Source organism: Homo sapiens, chromosome 1 (assembly GCF_000001405.40).
Source record: "Homo sapiens chromosome 1, GRCh38.p14 Primary Assembly".
Classification (NCBI taxonomy): domain Eukaryota; kingdom Metazoa; phylum Chordata; class Mammalia; order Primates; family Hominidae; genus Homo; species Homo sapiens.
In genome coordinates, this window is record NC_000001.11 from 161988818 (window position 1) to 162003488 (window position 14671).

Consider the following 14671-nt stretch of genomic DNA (forward strand, 5'->3'; position numbering starts at 1 on the left):
AGGCACTTTCTTTCTGGATGTCCTCATGGCTCCTCAAACTTAAAGGACTGAAAATGGAAATCATTTGCTTCAGTTCACAGCCTGCTCCTCCTGTATTTACTGTCCCAGAGAAAGCCATGGCACACCATCCACCAACTGAGCCAGAAACCTAGGTCATCCCTGATGTCCCCTTTCCCTTCACCCACATTCCAACTCAGCACTGAGTAACATCTTGACCCTGATCCTCCACCTCTATGGCGTAGTTCAGATCTCACCAACTCTTGCCTGGATCACTCCAATTGCGCCAGTTTGTCTCTCTGGCTCATCTCTGCCCACTTCTAACTTATCCTCCCCAGTATTCCCTGTGCTGCTTTTCCAAGATGCACATCTTCTTAAACCCTTAATGACTCACCATCTCCAACCACCAAGTGCAGCCCAGAGTCCCCATCCTAGCACATCAGCCCTTCCTGCATCACCATTCTTACTGTTGTCATCTGCCTTCATTCAGAGGTCTCAAACTCAGATGCCTACAGGGGTCAGGCAGGAGCTGAAATGATGAGTCAGGCTGAGTGTGAGACAAAAGGTGGCAGAAGACACTGTGGTGAACTGGAAGAGCTGACCTGAAGGCATTCAGATTCAAGAACATAAAAACACATCTTAGGATGAATTTGGCCCTCAGGCTGCCAGCTTGAGATCTCTTGCCCACACCTAGCTGCTTGTATTCACCATAGTTGCCAGGGCTATGGTATTCACCGTAAACCCAGGGCTGGCTTTTTGGGCATATGATCTGTGCAATCACACAGGACCCTTGCTTTGAAGGGCTGCCCTTCATTTAATGATCTGCTGTCACCATCTTGAATATCTTAATATTTTCACCCTCGAACTTGTATTTTATGTGAAGTCTAACAGTGCAGCCTGTTTGTGAGCAGAGGAGAATGCAAGATATGTGTGGCCACATTCTTTGTCCCCCACTTGCATATAGGGTTTGCTATGCCCAATGAGCACAGAATTGCAGGTAGACCCACTACGTGCCTGAGTTCAGTGAGATTCAAAGTGAGCACAAGGTAGGTGTGTTGCCCCAGAGGCCACATTTTACATTTGAACCAGATCGTGCTCCGAAAGCAGGAAGAAGGCAGTGGTGTTCTAAGAAACACAAATGGTCAAGGAACCCTATCATATTCTTTCTTGTGTTACTTCCCTGTATTAGACAACAACCTATGTTGAAATTGATACGAAAGAAGAGGGAAGGATAGGGCAACTCATAGTTCCGTTTCTTTTTAGTCCTTCCTCACTCAGTAAGCTGAAGGCAGGGAGTGTTGTTAAAATGTTCATATATCAAGTAAAACAAAAACAGATGAATTAGTTTTGTGCAGTATTTCCACTATTCTAATAAGAACATACATACACAGGTATGAAGGAGTTACAAAATATGAAATGAGTCATTTTGGTGGATTCTGCATAAAAGTTGAAAGATCTTATATTTGCATTTAAAACTAACATTGCACAATATAAAGATGAATTGTATAATTCATGCTAGTAAATTAAATTTTTAATACAGGCATACCTCAAAGATATTGTGGATTTGGTTCCAGACCACTGTAATAAAGCGAATATCATAATAAAGTGAGTTTCACAACTTTTTTGTTTCCCAGTGAGTATAAAAGTTATGTTTACACTATACTGCAGTCTATTAAGGGTTCAATAACATTATGTCTAAAAAATGTATACACCTTAATTTAAAAATACTTTATTACTAAAAAATACTAATGATCATCTAAGCCTTCAGTGGGTCGTCATCTTTTTGCTGGTGGAGGGTCTTGCCTCGATGTTGATGGCTGCTGATTGATCAGAGGAGTGGATGCTGAAGGCTAGGGGGCTGTGGCAATTTCTTAAAATAAGACAACAATGAAGTTTGCTGCATCAATTGACTCTTCCTTTCATGAAAGATTTCTCTGTAGTGTGTGATGCTGTTTGATAGCATTTTACCCCATAGTAGAACTTCTTTCAAAATTTGAGTCAAGCCTCTCAAACCATGCCACTGTTTTATCAACTAAGTTTATGTAATATTCAAAATCCTTTGTTGCCATTTCAACAGTGATCACACTGTCTTCACCAGGAGTAGGTTCCATATCAAGAAACCACTTTCTTTGTTCATCAATAAGAAACAACTCCTCATCCATTCAAGTTTGATCATCAGATTGCAGCAATTCAGTCCCATCTTCAGGCTCCACTTCTAATTGTAGTTTTCTTGATACTTCCACATCTGCAGTGACTTCCTCCACTGAAGACTTGAACCCCTCAAGGTTATCCATGAGGGTTGGAATCAACTTATTCCAAACTCCTGTTAATGTTGATATTTTGACCTCTTCCCATGAATCATGAATGTTCTTAATGATGAATCCTTTCCAGAAGGTTTTCAATTTACTTTGCCCAGATCCATCAGAGGAATCATTATCTATGGCAGCTATAGCCTTACAAAATGTATTTCTTAAATAATAAGACTTGAAAGTCAAAAAGACTCCTTAATCCATGGGCTTCAGAATGAATGCTGTGTTGGCAGGCATGACAGCATTCATCTCCTTGCACATCTCCATGAGAGCTTTTGGGTGATTAGGTGCATTGTCAAAGAGCAGTCATATTTTTAAAATAATCTCCTGGCCAGGCGCGGTGGCTCACACCTGTAATCCCAGCACTTTGGGAGGCCGAGGCAGGCGGATCACTTGAGTTTGGGAGTTTGAGACCAGCCTGGCCAACATGGTGAAACTCCATCTCTACTAAAAATACAAACAATTAGCTGGGCGTGGTAGCATGTGCCTATAATCCCAGCTACTTGGGAGGCTGAGGCAGGAGAATCACTTGAACCTGAGAGGCAGAGGTTGCAGTGAGCTGAAATCGTGCCACTGCATTCCAGCCTTGGTGACAGAGCAAGATTCTGTCTCAAATAATAATTTCTTTTTCTGAGCAGTAGGTCTCAACAAAGGGCTTAAATTATTCAGTAAACCATGCTGTAAAAAGATGTGCTATTATCCAAGCTTTGTTGTTCCATGTATAGAGCACCAGGAGAGTAGATTTGCATAATTCTTAAGGGCCCTAGGATTTTTAGAATGGTAAATGAGCACTGGCTTTGATTTAAAGTCACCAGCTGCATTAGCCCCTAACAGAAGAGTCACCTTGTCCTTTGAAGCTTTGAAGCCAGGCACTGACCTCTCCTCTTTAATTATGAAGGTCCTAGATGGCACCTTCTTCCAATGGATGGCTGTTTTGCCTACACTGAAAATCTGTTGTTTAGTGTAGCCACCTTCATCAACAATCTTAGCTAGATCTTCTAGATAACTTGCTACAGCTTCTGCATTAGCACTTGCTATTTCACTTGCATTTTTACATTATGGAGACAACTTCTTTCTCTAAATCTCACGAACCAGCCTCTGTTAGCTTCAGACTTTTTTCTGCAGCTTCTTCACCTCTGTCAGCCATCATAGAATTGAAGAGAGTTAGGGCCTTGCTCTGGATTAGGGAATTTTGCTTAAGGGAATGTCGTGGTTGGACTGTCTTTTTATCCAGACCACTACAACTTTCTCCATATCAGCAATAAGGCTGTTTCATTTGCTTATCATTCATGTGTTTACTGGAGTAGCACTTTTAATTTCCTTCAAGAACTTTTCCTTTGCATTCACAACTTGGTTAACTGTTTGGCACAAGAGGGCTTTTGGCCTATCTCGGCTTTTGACATGCCATCCTCGCTCAGCTCTGACATTTCCAGCTTTTGATTTAAAGTGAGAAGTGTGGAATTCTTCCTTTCACCTAAACACCTAGAGGCCATTGTAGGGTTATTAATTGGCCTAATTTCAATATTGTTGTGTGTCACAGAACAGGGAGGCCCAAGGAGTGGGAGAGAGACCAGGGAATGCCAGTTGGGGGAGCAGCAGATCACACACAGCATTTATGGATTGAGTTCACTGCTTTGTATCGGTGTGGGTGGGTGATGCCCCAAAACAATGAAAATAGTAATTGTCAAAGATCACTGATCACAGATCATCATAACAGATATAAAGAAAAAGTTTGAGATATTGCAAGAATTACCAAAATGTGACACAAAGTGAGCACATAGGGTTGGAAAATGGTGCTGGTAGACTGGCTTGACACAGCGTTGCCACAAAGCTTCAGTCTGTAAAAAAATGCACTCTCTGTGAAGTACAACAAAGCAAAGTGCAATAAGATGGGGCATGCCTGTATGTCTTTACTTACAATAGCATGGAACAGCAAATAAAAAACACCATAAGGAGAGAGAGACAGAGAGAGAGGCACATACACACCATGAATGGAAGAAGAGGAGCTTTATATTTACTACTCGGCATGGCACTTTTCCCCTGCCTTTTGAGCACGGGCCCCACATTGTCATTTTGCACTGGGCCCCGATGCTCTTGTTGGCTCTGGTTCTTCTCACTGCAGTGCTACCTTCCTTCTTTGCCTAGCTAATTTCCCCTGATGCTACAAAACAGCTAGGCCAGCACCTCTTTCTGGAAGAGGGTCCTGGGCTGCCTCAGTCTCCCTCTGTGACCCACTGTGGCCTGTGCCCCCCAGTGCTCACCACCCTGCGTTGAAGTCATGTGTCTGTGTTGGTCTCAATACAAGCTGTGCAACTCCAGGGCAGGGCCCCTGCCGTATCTGTCTTTGCATCCCTGACACCCACGGCACTCACACATCCTGAGTGTGTGATGGTCCACTTAATACTGGAGCAAATCTGAATATTGTTTCCATGCTTAGAGCCCTCTCTATCTCTTTTAGCATCGAGTCCCTACTTCTCATTCCCTTCATCATCAGGCCCCGGCTCCCTACCCTGGAATTCCATCACTCTCCCTCACTCGACCCCATCTGTGCTGGCGTACCTGGGCTGCCTTCCATTCCCTGCCCAACCTGGCGCATGCTCTTGGCTCTGCCTGGAGAGTTCTTCTCTGCCCTCTGAGCCTGGTGAGCTGGAGAACACCCTCAGAGAGGAGCCCCATGGCAGAAGTGATACGACGCCCCTGGACAGCATGCATCCGTTGCCAGCCACACTTCCCATGTGCTCGGCCACTTCAGTCACTGCTGCCTCCCTGCACCTTTGGGAAAGTGACCACTTCTTGCTCACTTTGGATCTTTGCAGCCGAGCACGCTGTAGTGGTAGATGAATTATTAATACTAGATGACTCTTTATCCTCATCAAAAGGCTTAGACTTCAGTCCTTTACCACCTGCAAGGGTATATTTTATCCATTTTATATCCTTATTTCTAGGGCCAGAGGCCCCTGTGTTATACGATGACTGGATTTCCAGTTTTCTGAGCAAGTTGGGTTAGGAGCATCAGCAAAGAGACTGAGACCAGTGGAGCTGGGGCTGTGGAGCTGGGGCTGGGGGAGCTGCCTGTCTAGTGACTTAGAGTCTGGGCTCTGCAGAGGCTCTGGAAGCTGTCCCAGCCCACGTCAGCATCGCCTTCCTTGGGCTGCCCCAGACCAGCCTCCCTGACACGAGACAGGCAGGACTGGCCATCACGCCCCATGGTCGGCACAGCTGGCCAAGCCTCGGGGTGGTTACAGTCATCTGCTTTGTGGGGGAGACATTCTTCATAGTTCATGGTATTTTCTAGATTCAAATAGGAGCCAGGCTCTCTCTGGTATTGTTATAAACTGACTGTCCTCTTTGTCTGCTCCTGCCACCTGCCCTCCCCCACTCCAAACCAGCCCCTTCTACAAAATGCATCAGGAATTGTAGTTGCTAAAGTCTGGGAATCTGCAGAGCCTTGGCCATGTGGCAGTTTCATTTCTCTGCAGTAGCCTGAGCTATTCCCAAAGCCAGGGCTGTCCCGAGCAGAAGCGCCTTCTCGGATGGTACCAATCCTACCCAAACCCCAGCTCCAATTACTGACAATATTTTTCCTCTCCCTGTCCTAGAGCTACACTACGGCCAAATGTTTCGTTTGCACAGCCAAAAATGAATTCTAATTTACTTGTTTTTGGATTTTTTTTGAACATTTTATAACTCTCCTGAGGATAATGGTAGACATTTTAGGGCATCACAAAATCAGGATTGGAAACCATGGGATAAAAATCTTTCTTTTAAAATTAGTGCTGTTTACAACCACATCTTAAATAGCTCAAAAATCAAAATTGCTGGATTCATCAAACAGCAAACAAGCTTTCCCAGGTAGCAAATCAGTGGCCCATGTCTATTTCAGCCAAAAGCTTTTTAATTTTACTGATGACTGGGAGATGTCATCACATCACGGTCTTTCTTGGCCAGACACAGGCAAGTCAGGGGTCTGCAGAGAATGTTAGGGTATGAAAATCTCATCCACACCAACAGCAGCCAGAGGGAGGCATTTGGCAGTGATAAACTATTGAAAATAATTCCCAGAAACAAACTTGTTGAAGCTAGACAATGCCTAGACAGCCAAAGCTTTCTTCTCTGGGCCACCCCTCCTCTCACCCCTTGGCATTTGAAGAACACACTACATCTGTGTCCATGTCTATTTCTTCTGCAGTCGACATAAGAGGTGAGAACCCCAGCTCCTCTGAAAAATGCCACGGGCTAGTCTTTAAGCAAACCTTACATCGTCAGCATGATGATGCTATTCTAGTTAAACAGAATATTGAACAAGAGAAAATGTCATTCCTACCACCAGGTAAATGGCTGCTGGGACACATGGCTTCTCTGGGCATCAGCATCTCAATTAGGCTACTGGAGGGGGAAAGAGTTATAAGTGTCCCTGAAAACACCAGAAAAGCCTGCTGATGGCAAAGTCCTGGGGAGGCAGTTGGGGAGAGGCTGGGTTCTGGGACCCAGGTTGGTAGGTTATGGAGAGAGTGAACAACTCACTCCTGGCTAGCAAGTCACCGACGGAAGAGGCTCCCAGGCTGGCAGACACCATTGCCTGATGGCTTGCAAGGTGTGTGGGTCCTACCTGCAGCCTGTCTTCACTGTTAGCATTCTGGAAAACTGTGGTAGGGGTGACAGGGGCCAGATTCCTAAATATTTGGAGGGATGTTCCCTCTCACCCAAGGGTGACAGGAAGCTGAAATGGTAGAAGTATGGGGGCCCAGGGAAGTTCACTTCCATGGCAAAGGGAGAGATGGAGTGTTGGGCTCAGGGCCTGTTCTCAAGAGCACAAAGGCCAGGCTGCCCAGAGCTGGTGCACAAGTGGTAGCCTCTTCTCTGACCCCAAGGCAGTCTGCAGAAACACAGCAGGACCCCTGCTTCAGAAACTTAAACATTCTCTCCTGCTCCCACCCTCACCTCTAAGGCCCAAGAACTGCCTTCTCGCTTAGCTTCCTCCAGGCCAGCGTTCATGAGATTTTGCCCTGGGGTCCATTTCTATGGGCTATTTCACTGCTGTCATTCTGCCATTATTCTGAAACTTTCACCCAACAAGAATCTTTATTTACAATAGCATGGAACAGCAAATAAAAAACACCATAAGGAGAGAGAGACAGAGAGAGAGGCACATACACACCATGAATGGAAGAAGAGGAGCAGAATCATGACCTGGTAAACTTCCTGCGGAAAACCATAGCATATACTGAGACCCAGAGAAGGCAGAGATTTGGCCAAAGTCACACAGCTATCAATGGCAGAGAGCAGTGTCTGACTCCTGGCAGGTACTCCTTCACCGCTCTGTCTCTGGCAGCAGCTGGTACCTTATGCTGAGGAAGGATTGGGAATGAGGCTGCCAAGGGCAAGAAAAATGGGAGAAGGGAAAGATATGTATAAGGCAGGCCAAATCTTCTGTCAAATCAAGTGTATTTTTCAACAAATATTTTGATGAAATTATTACTCAATAGTGTTATTTTTCAGTCATGATCAGTGGTGATTTAATGAATGTTTGGTTTAGTTCTTTTTGGAAAAGACATTTGTAACTGGCTCCCATTTTTCCTTTTATAGTTCCTTTTTTCTCTACTTTCCTATTTCACTGCTCTGCGTTCTCTTGGGCCACGGAGCTCCCAGGCACAGAATAGGGCTGCATTCTCCATGCTTCTGGAACATACCTTGTTTTTTTAGACCTAACAGTCAGGAGGCTTCCCTTCTCTGCTTAGAAAACTCCTATTCAGGCCCAGCGCAGTGGCTCACGCCTGTAATCCCAACACTTTGGGAGGCCGAGGTGGGGGGATCACAAGGTCAGGAGATTGAGACCATCCTGGCTGACATGGTGAAAACCCGTCTCTACTAAAAGTACAAAAAATTAGCTGGGCATGGTGGCGGGCACCTGCAGTCCCAGCTACTTGGGAGGCTGAGGCAGGAGAATGGCATGAACCCAGGAGGCGGAGCTTGCAGTGAGCCAAGATTGCACCACTGCACTCCAGCCTGGGCGACAGAGCGAGACTCTGTCTCAAAAAAGAAAAAAAAAGAAAACTCTTATTCATCCTTCAAATCCCAGCTCAAATGACACCTCCTTAGAAAAGTTTCCCCAGCCTTCCTGGCAGCCAGGCCAAGCTAATATTCCTTCTTTCTTTTCTCTGTTTTTCCATTCCTCTGGTACAGCACTTGTCACATGGTGCCATGATGTTTCTATGCTCTCCATGGGTGGGGCTCATGATTTTGCACGGAGGCCCATTGCCCCAGCTATTCCCCTGCTCTCACTCTACTACAAATCTGAGACTTTCCCCCCAGTAAAAACCCTTTGTTCTTTTATGGCTTGGTAAACTTACCACAGAAAAATTCATTTATTCATCACTGGATACCTCAATAGCCATCACAAAGCCTAGTGTATGGATAGCCCTCAACAAATATTTATAAAACTAACTCCTGAAGCCAAATCTTGACTCCATTAATTTATATGTCTATTTTAGGAAAAAAGAGTCCCACCCTTGCCACTGGCACATTTTCAATAAATAAACCCTAGATGTTAAAACTAATCGTTGGTCAAAGGCTTAACTCCACTTGCCATTCCCATAAAGAACTTTGACCATCTGGTGCCTCCCTCTCCTCTCAAGATATTTCCAGGCTCAGCCTTTTACCTGAGCTGATCAGGAGACCAAGGCCAGGTACAATGAACTTACCTATGACATTCCGGATGTCATCTTCTTCTTCGGGGCTCAGCGTGGGGCTGGCAGGGGTTGTTCCCCACCCAGCAGGAGCATCTTTCCCCAGCGAGTCTGTTCTGACTGTGGTGGGAGGCACTGGGACTGTGTGCATAGCTTCCATCAATGCCTCCCTGGGAGACACTGCCGGAGGAGCTGGGGCTGCTGGTTGCTGGGTGGCTGTGTGGGCCACAGTGGTGGCTGGTACCTGAGGAGAAGGCTGCAGGACTGACTCCCTTGTGGGATCTGGAGACACCGAGGTTGTTTGGAGTGTTGGTCCCACTGAGGCATGGTTGGCGATGCTGGGATCTGAGGTCGAGGGCTGTGGCAGTGCTGAGGACCAGGGTGCGGTCCGAGCGTTCAGGTCGCTTGTCACAGCAGTGCTGTGTCCCTGACGGGTGGCTGCAGGCCTCCGGGTGACACTGGTCATCAGGCCGTTGTGTCTCAGGAGCTGATCTTCAATCAGCAAATCCACTCCATTGTCACCGCTGAAAAACTCATCTTCTGTGAAACAAACACAAGGTTCACTGTGGCACGGGAAAGAAACAACCTACAGATGACAAGAGCACATGGCAATGAGCAGGTGAATTAGAGGGTGCCTTTCCTTAACACGACGGCTTGAGTTACAGAGGGGGCCTGGCTGGGATTTTGGAAGAAGGTGTACAGGAGCGCAGGTGGAAGGACATTGAATTTCCAGGGGGTTTCTCTGAATAGACTGCAGCCATGCTCCCCCCAGGACTCAGGGGTCACTGGCAGGACGCATAGTCATGGGTCCTGAACCCCGATGGCTGGGAGTAAGTGAGTCATCCAATCCATCCTTCCAGCACATGTTTATGGAGTATGGATAACAACAGCAAGCAAAACAAGGATCCTTGACCTCACAGAGCTTCTATATAGTGGTGGAGACGCTTGATAATAGACAGGATTGTGCACCTGAAGGTGCTATGGGGAACAAAATGTAGGGTAAAGAGGGTCAAACAAGCTAGAAGGGAAGGGAAACTTGCAGAGAAGAATAAAGTGGTGAGGATGAGACTCATTGAGCTGGGGAGATGAGCAGCTGCCTGGAGGAGGTGAAGGAGTCAGCTGAGCAGCCATCGGGCACAAAGATTCCATGGGTGAATAACCACAGAGAAAAGGCCCTGAGGCAGGACATGCGTGCAGCGGCCCAGGAGCAGCGAGGTGGCCAGCATGACTGAAGCAGAGGCAAGGTCACAGTGAGGACAGGCGCTGGGCATGCATGACTTAGAGGCTGTGTATGGAGTTCAGTTTTTATTCTGAAAGAAATGGGGGAGGCTGCAGGATTTTGAGCAGAGATGGAATATGGAGAGGCAAACATTTCTTAGAGAGGACACAAAGAGCTCTAACCACAAAAGAAATAATTGGTAAAGTAGACTTCATGTGCTCATCAAAAACACCATTAAGGAACTAAAAATGCATGCCATAGGTAGGGAGAAAATACTTGCAATACATATGATGGCAAAGAACTTGTATCCAGAATATGTAAAAAACTACCACAAATCAATGACACAAAAAAAATGACCAAAAAAAACACATGGGCAAAATGATGACGCCAGCTACTGGGTGGAGAATAAACATGGTGGAGGCAAAGGCAGAAGCAAGGAGACAGACAGGAAGCTGCTGCATCAGCCCTGATGGGGAAGGACTCGCTCAGACATACTGGGGAGAGGGGAAGAGTCGGGGCCTGCTGGGAGTGCTGGGCAAGGAAAAGAAAGAAGACAAGAGGAGGAGGAGGAGGCGAGGAGGAGCACAGGAAGAGGAAGAAGCCTAAGGAAACAAGGTAAACGTGATGTGAAAAGGGATCGTCTCTCTTCCATGAAAAATGAAGAAGGACAGAGATCAAAGGGGAGGTGCTGGAGACTCAGACAGGAAGCTCAGGGCCCCCGGAGGGAGGAGCAAGTATTGGAGAAGCCCACCTTGTGGCTCTAAGCAAGTCAGTCTCCCCAAACCTCAGTTTTCTCATCTGCAAATGGGGAGGACTGTACTGGAGGGCACTGAAGTCCCTTCCAGCCCAGCCACACTCTGCCATATGGTCTTCTGCAAGCTCAGAGAAGTTAAGTGACTTGCCCAAGGCCACTCAGCGAGCTGTGAGGAAATGCAGTGAGAGCTCTGGATAACAGGGCCACAGCAGTAATTGGAATGCTGTGTATGGAGGGGTGTATGGCTCCCAGGAATCCAGCCCACTATGGTCCAAATGGTGACTTCCTCCCTACCCTGCCTCTGGGGCGGCCCTGTTGACCCCAACTCACGCTGCTCTTCAATGTCATTCTCTTCTTCAGAGACCTTGGCTTTATAGTAGGTGATGCCCCGGATGACAGTGGGCTGGGAGGCCGGCCGGCCTCTCAGGTGGACCTGCCTCTGCAGGGGCCGCTGTGACTTCACCACCTCAGGCAGAGCCAGGGGTCGCGTCTGCAGAAGTTCGATGGAGTTGATCTGCTGGGACACGGTTTCTTCCTGCAGAAACCGCTCTTCATACTGCTCCTCAGAGGGGACACAAGGGAAGGTCAGGTCACTGGTCAGAGAGGCAGTGGGCAGGTGGGGGCAAGGCTGGAGCCAAGGCTGTGCTAATAACAGCAGCACTTCCGAAGAGCCAGGCACTGTTCTAAGTGCTTTATACATTTACATATGTTAACTAATTTAATCTTCTCATCAGTTCTATGAGGTAGGACATATTTTTATCATGATCATTTACAGTTCAGGAAACTGAGGCACAGAGAGGTTACATAAATTTCCCAAGGTCCCACAACAGGTAAGTGGTAAGGCAGATTGAAGCCAGGATGTCTGGTTCCAGAATCAGTGTCGCTATGCTTGACGTATACTGCCCAGAGAATGCAGTCCTCCTCTTGGATCTGGCCTAGGGATGCTGGGTGACTTAGATCTGGTGTAAGTTGTTTTGGGTGAGATCCATGTGAGGGGAAGGATGCCTGGGCTGGGACATGAAGCCCAAGGACCAGGATGCACACCGCCTCAGGATGAAGCTTGTTACAGCAATCAAAATGGGCTTCCTAAAACACATATCACCCCCAGCCCCCAAACCCTTCCTCCTACATACAGAATAAAGTCCAAAGTAAAACTGATCTTGATCTAGCTCAGCATTCTTCTCTCTTGTTGCGTGCCCTGCACCCCACGCCCTAGGCACTCCAGTCACTTGGCTGACTACTGAAACTCTTGGCTCTCCTGAGCCACTGGATCTATGTTCAGCCTGTTTTCTCTGCCTGGATAGCCATTATACCTCCTTCCCCCATATATCTACTTATTTATCTACTTCTCAAGGCCCAGCTAAAATTTCAGGTCCCCAAGGAAATACTCCTGGACCTTCTAATTCAGAATTAATCAATCTTCCCCAAGCCTCATTTTGTGCTTTATGGCAGAGATTTCTCACTGATTACCCAAATTCCCTGCCCTCTTGTTCCTTACTAATGAAGACCTGGTTTTACGGGAGTGGGCATGGGACTGAATTCTGGCCAGTGGGGTATAGGAAGAAGTTGATGGGATGTGCATTTGGAAAAGTTCTGCATAAGGGGGGCTGATTCAGCTTGGAGGCATCTTTTGCTCTCTTCCTCATTTCTCTGGACTGAAATGTGGACAGAATGGCTGGAGCTGAGCAGCCATCTTGTGATCATGAGGGGATTTTGAGGATGAAAGTCACTAACGACATCTTGGAGCTGATCATGCCAGCCCTGGACTGCCTGCCTCCAGAGCTTGTTTTACGTGAAAGAACAACAAACATTTCTATTGTTTAAGGCACTGTATTTGGGTCTCTTACCCAAGCTGAACACAAGTCCTAATGAATATAAGTCTGTGCTTCTGCTGTAGCACCTCTCCTAGCCTGCTTTCCACAGGCACTATTTAGGGATGTTGCTATCTCTGTAGACTATGGGAATCTGAAAGAAGAGAGACCATTTCTTGTTCATCTTTGATTCCCCTGGATTGAGGCTCCCTAATATTTGTTAAATTGAATTTCTGAATCATAACAAATCCCAAGGAATCATCTACATTGGTAACTAACCAGCATTTAATTTTGTCAAAACAAATGATGCTCATATGGCCCGGTGACTGGGCATCTGGATGGCGCTGTGAGAGTGCCCTGTGACAGCTCTGATCATGTAGATGGACCACTCTGTCCTCCACAGAGCTGCTGCCCAAGGAGGAGCCCCTGTGTCCACAGTGTGGCGGGATCTCTGGTCCTGTGTTGGTCTGTTCAGCCAGACTCCCTGTCCAGGATTATAATCACCCACCTTTGAAAGCAAAGGACCTTGGGCATACAACCTGTGAACTGACTGTGCTCAAAGTCAGGGCCACCCCACAGGTGGGTCCAGCTGCTTTGGTGGCTCCATCAGAGAAGTGTGGGAGCCTGAGAGGAGCGTGGCCCAGCCCTGCTCTCCCCAGGACTCCAGTGGCTGGATAATGAAGAGGCGGCTTCCTGCAGCCCCCTGAACCATGAGGCCCCTTCTCAACCAGGGGGAGGTGAGTGAGCTCCCTTTAATCTTGTAATTCTAGGCCTTGGTGGAAGCCACCCAGAGAGCAGAGCCCATGTGGAAACAAAACCTGTGTTCCTAGATGCCCAGTGCCCGGAGGCAGGGCAGGGCCTTTAGCTACTCCATGTTGGCTGTAGGAACCTGGCCACCACGGCCAATGTGCTCCTTTCGCACAGGAAGAAGCAAACCAGGCTCTTGCTTTGATCTTTACAATTTGGCCTGGAAAAAGCCCTGAGTCCTCATTACCCCCAAGGACACCCCCAAGCGTGTGCCTGTTTTCTCATGACAAGAGAGTTCTTCTGGATGGCACAACCAATGGGGTTGTGTATCTCTCTCTCCCCAGCACACAGTGGTGACCGACTCCTGAAAGGTAGGGGACATCCTTCTGCCAGCCTCCCCTGTCTGCCCAGGGGAAACAGGCCGACATGCTCGGCTGTGCCTGGGGCAGCCCCAACTCCTGCTCCTTGCCCCTCCCTCAATTCCCTGTTCTTGCTGGTGATGTAACCTCCACCTGAGCTGTAGGGGATATCTGGTTGGTGGAGATGATATTTTAATGAACACCTATTATGGCCATGTCCCTTTGTATTATTTTTAACCCTTACAACAATGGGGAAGGTAGATACCATTATCCACACGTCACAGATGAGGAAACAGAGGCTCAGAGTCGTTCAGCAATTTGGTTGAAAGTCAATCAGTTAAGTGGCTGAGAGGGGCAGTTCTTAAGTCACACAACTCAGGTCAGCCCCAGGCTGCCTGCCCTCAGAGCCTGCCTCTTCCTTCCATTAAGCCTCTGCCTGCAGCTGTGACCACAGGACTAACTTGCCTGCCATCCAAAAACTCGCCTGCCTGCCCTAGTCCTCCGGGTCATGGTCTGGCTCCTACCCAGCAGACTTGGGAGATCCCTCATTTCCCACTGGGAAGAGCTGCTCGGCAGGCTGTCAGGAGACCCTGGCCACAGCCCGTGACTCAGACGCTGAACGGCATCTAATTACCGGACCCTGGTCTCCCTCTGCATTGCAAAAGCAGGTTGTCATTTCTTCGCCGCAAACCCCAGTAACTGTCTTTAATTCCAGGCTCTCAGGGAAGGGTGGGAACTGCAGTGCTTTCTCCCAGCCAAGGAGATGGAGCAAGACCATGGACAGCCCTT

The 14671-nt window shown here is 47.6% G+C and overlaps 1 protein-coding gene across 4 annotated transcripts in view, besides 1 other annotated feature; it reads right to left on the bottom strand.

Moving 5' to 3' along the window:
* Positions 1 to 14671, bottom strand: part of OLFML2B (olfactomedin like 2B) — a 40678-nt gene that overhangs the window by 5626 nt on the left and 20381 nt on the right. For 2 of the 4 annotated variants that reach the window (NM_015441.3, XM_011509398.3), the window contains 2 exons: positions 11296 to 11521; positions 9008 to 9532 (listed from right to left, as the gene is read on the bottom strand). In NM_015441.3, coding sequence (NP_056256.1) covers positions 9008 to 9532; positions 11296 to 11521 — 751 coding nt within the window. Of the gene's footprint in view, positions 1 to 9007; positions 9533 to 11295; positions 11528 to 14671 lie in introns of all 4 variants that reach the window. The other 2 variants (NM_001297713.2, NM_001347700.2) reach the window with 2 other exon arrangements.
* Positions 14058 to 14559: an enhancer, noted in NCBI's record as "H3K4me1 hESC enhancer chr1:161972665-161973166 (GRCh37/hg19 assembly coordinates)". NCBI's record gives its function as "activates a minimal SCP1, AML or CMV promoter by ChIP-STARR-seq in naive H9 embryonic stem cells {active_cell/tissue: H9 hESC(naive)}" and the evidence as "EXISTENCE:reporter gene assay evidence [ECO:0000049][PMID:30033119]".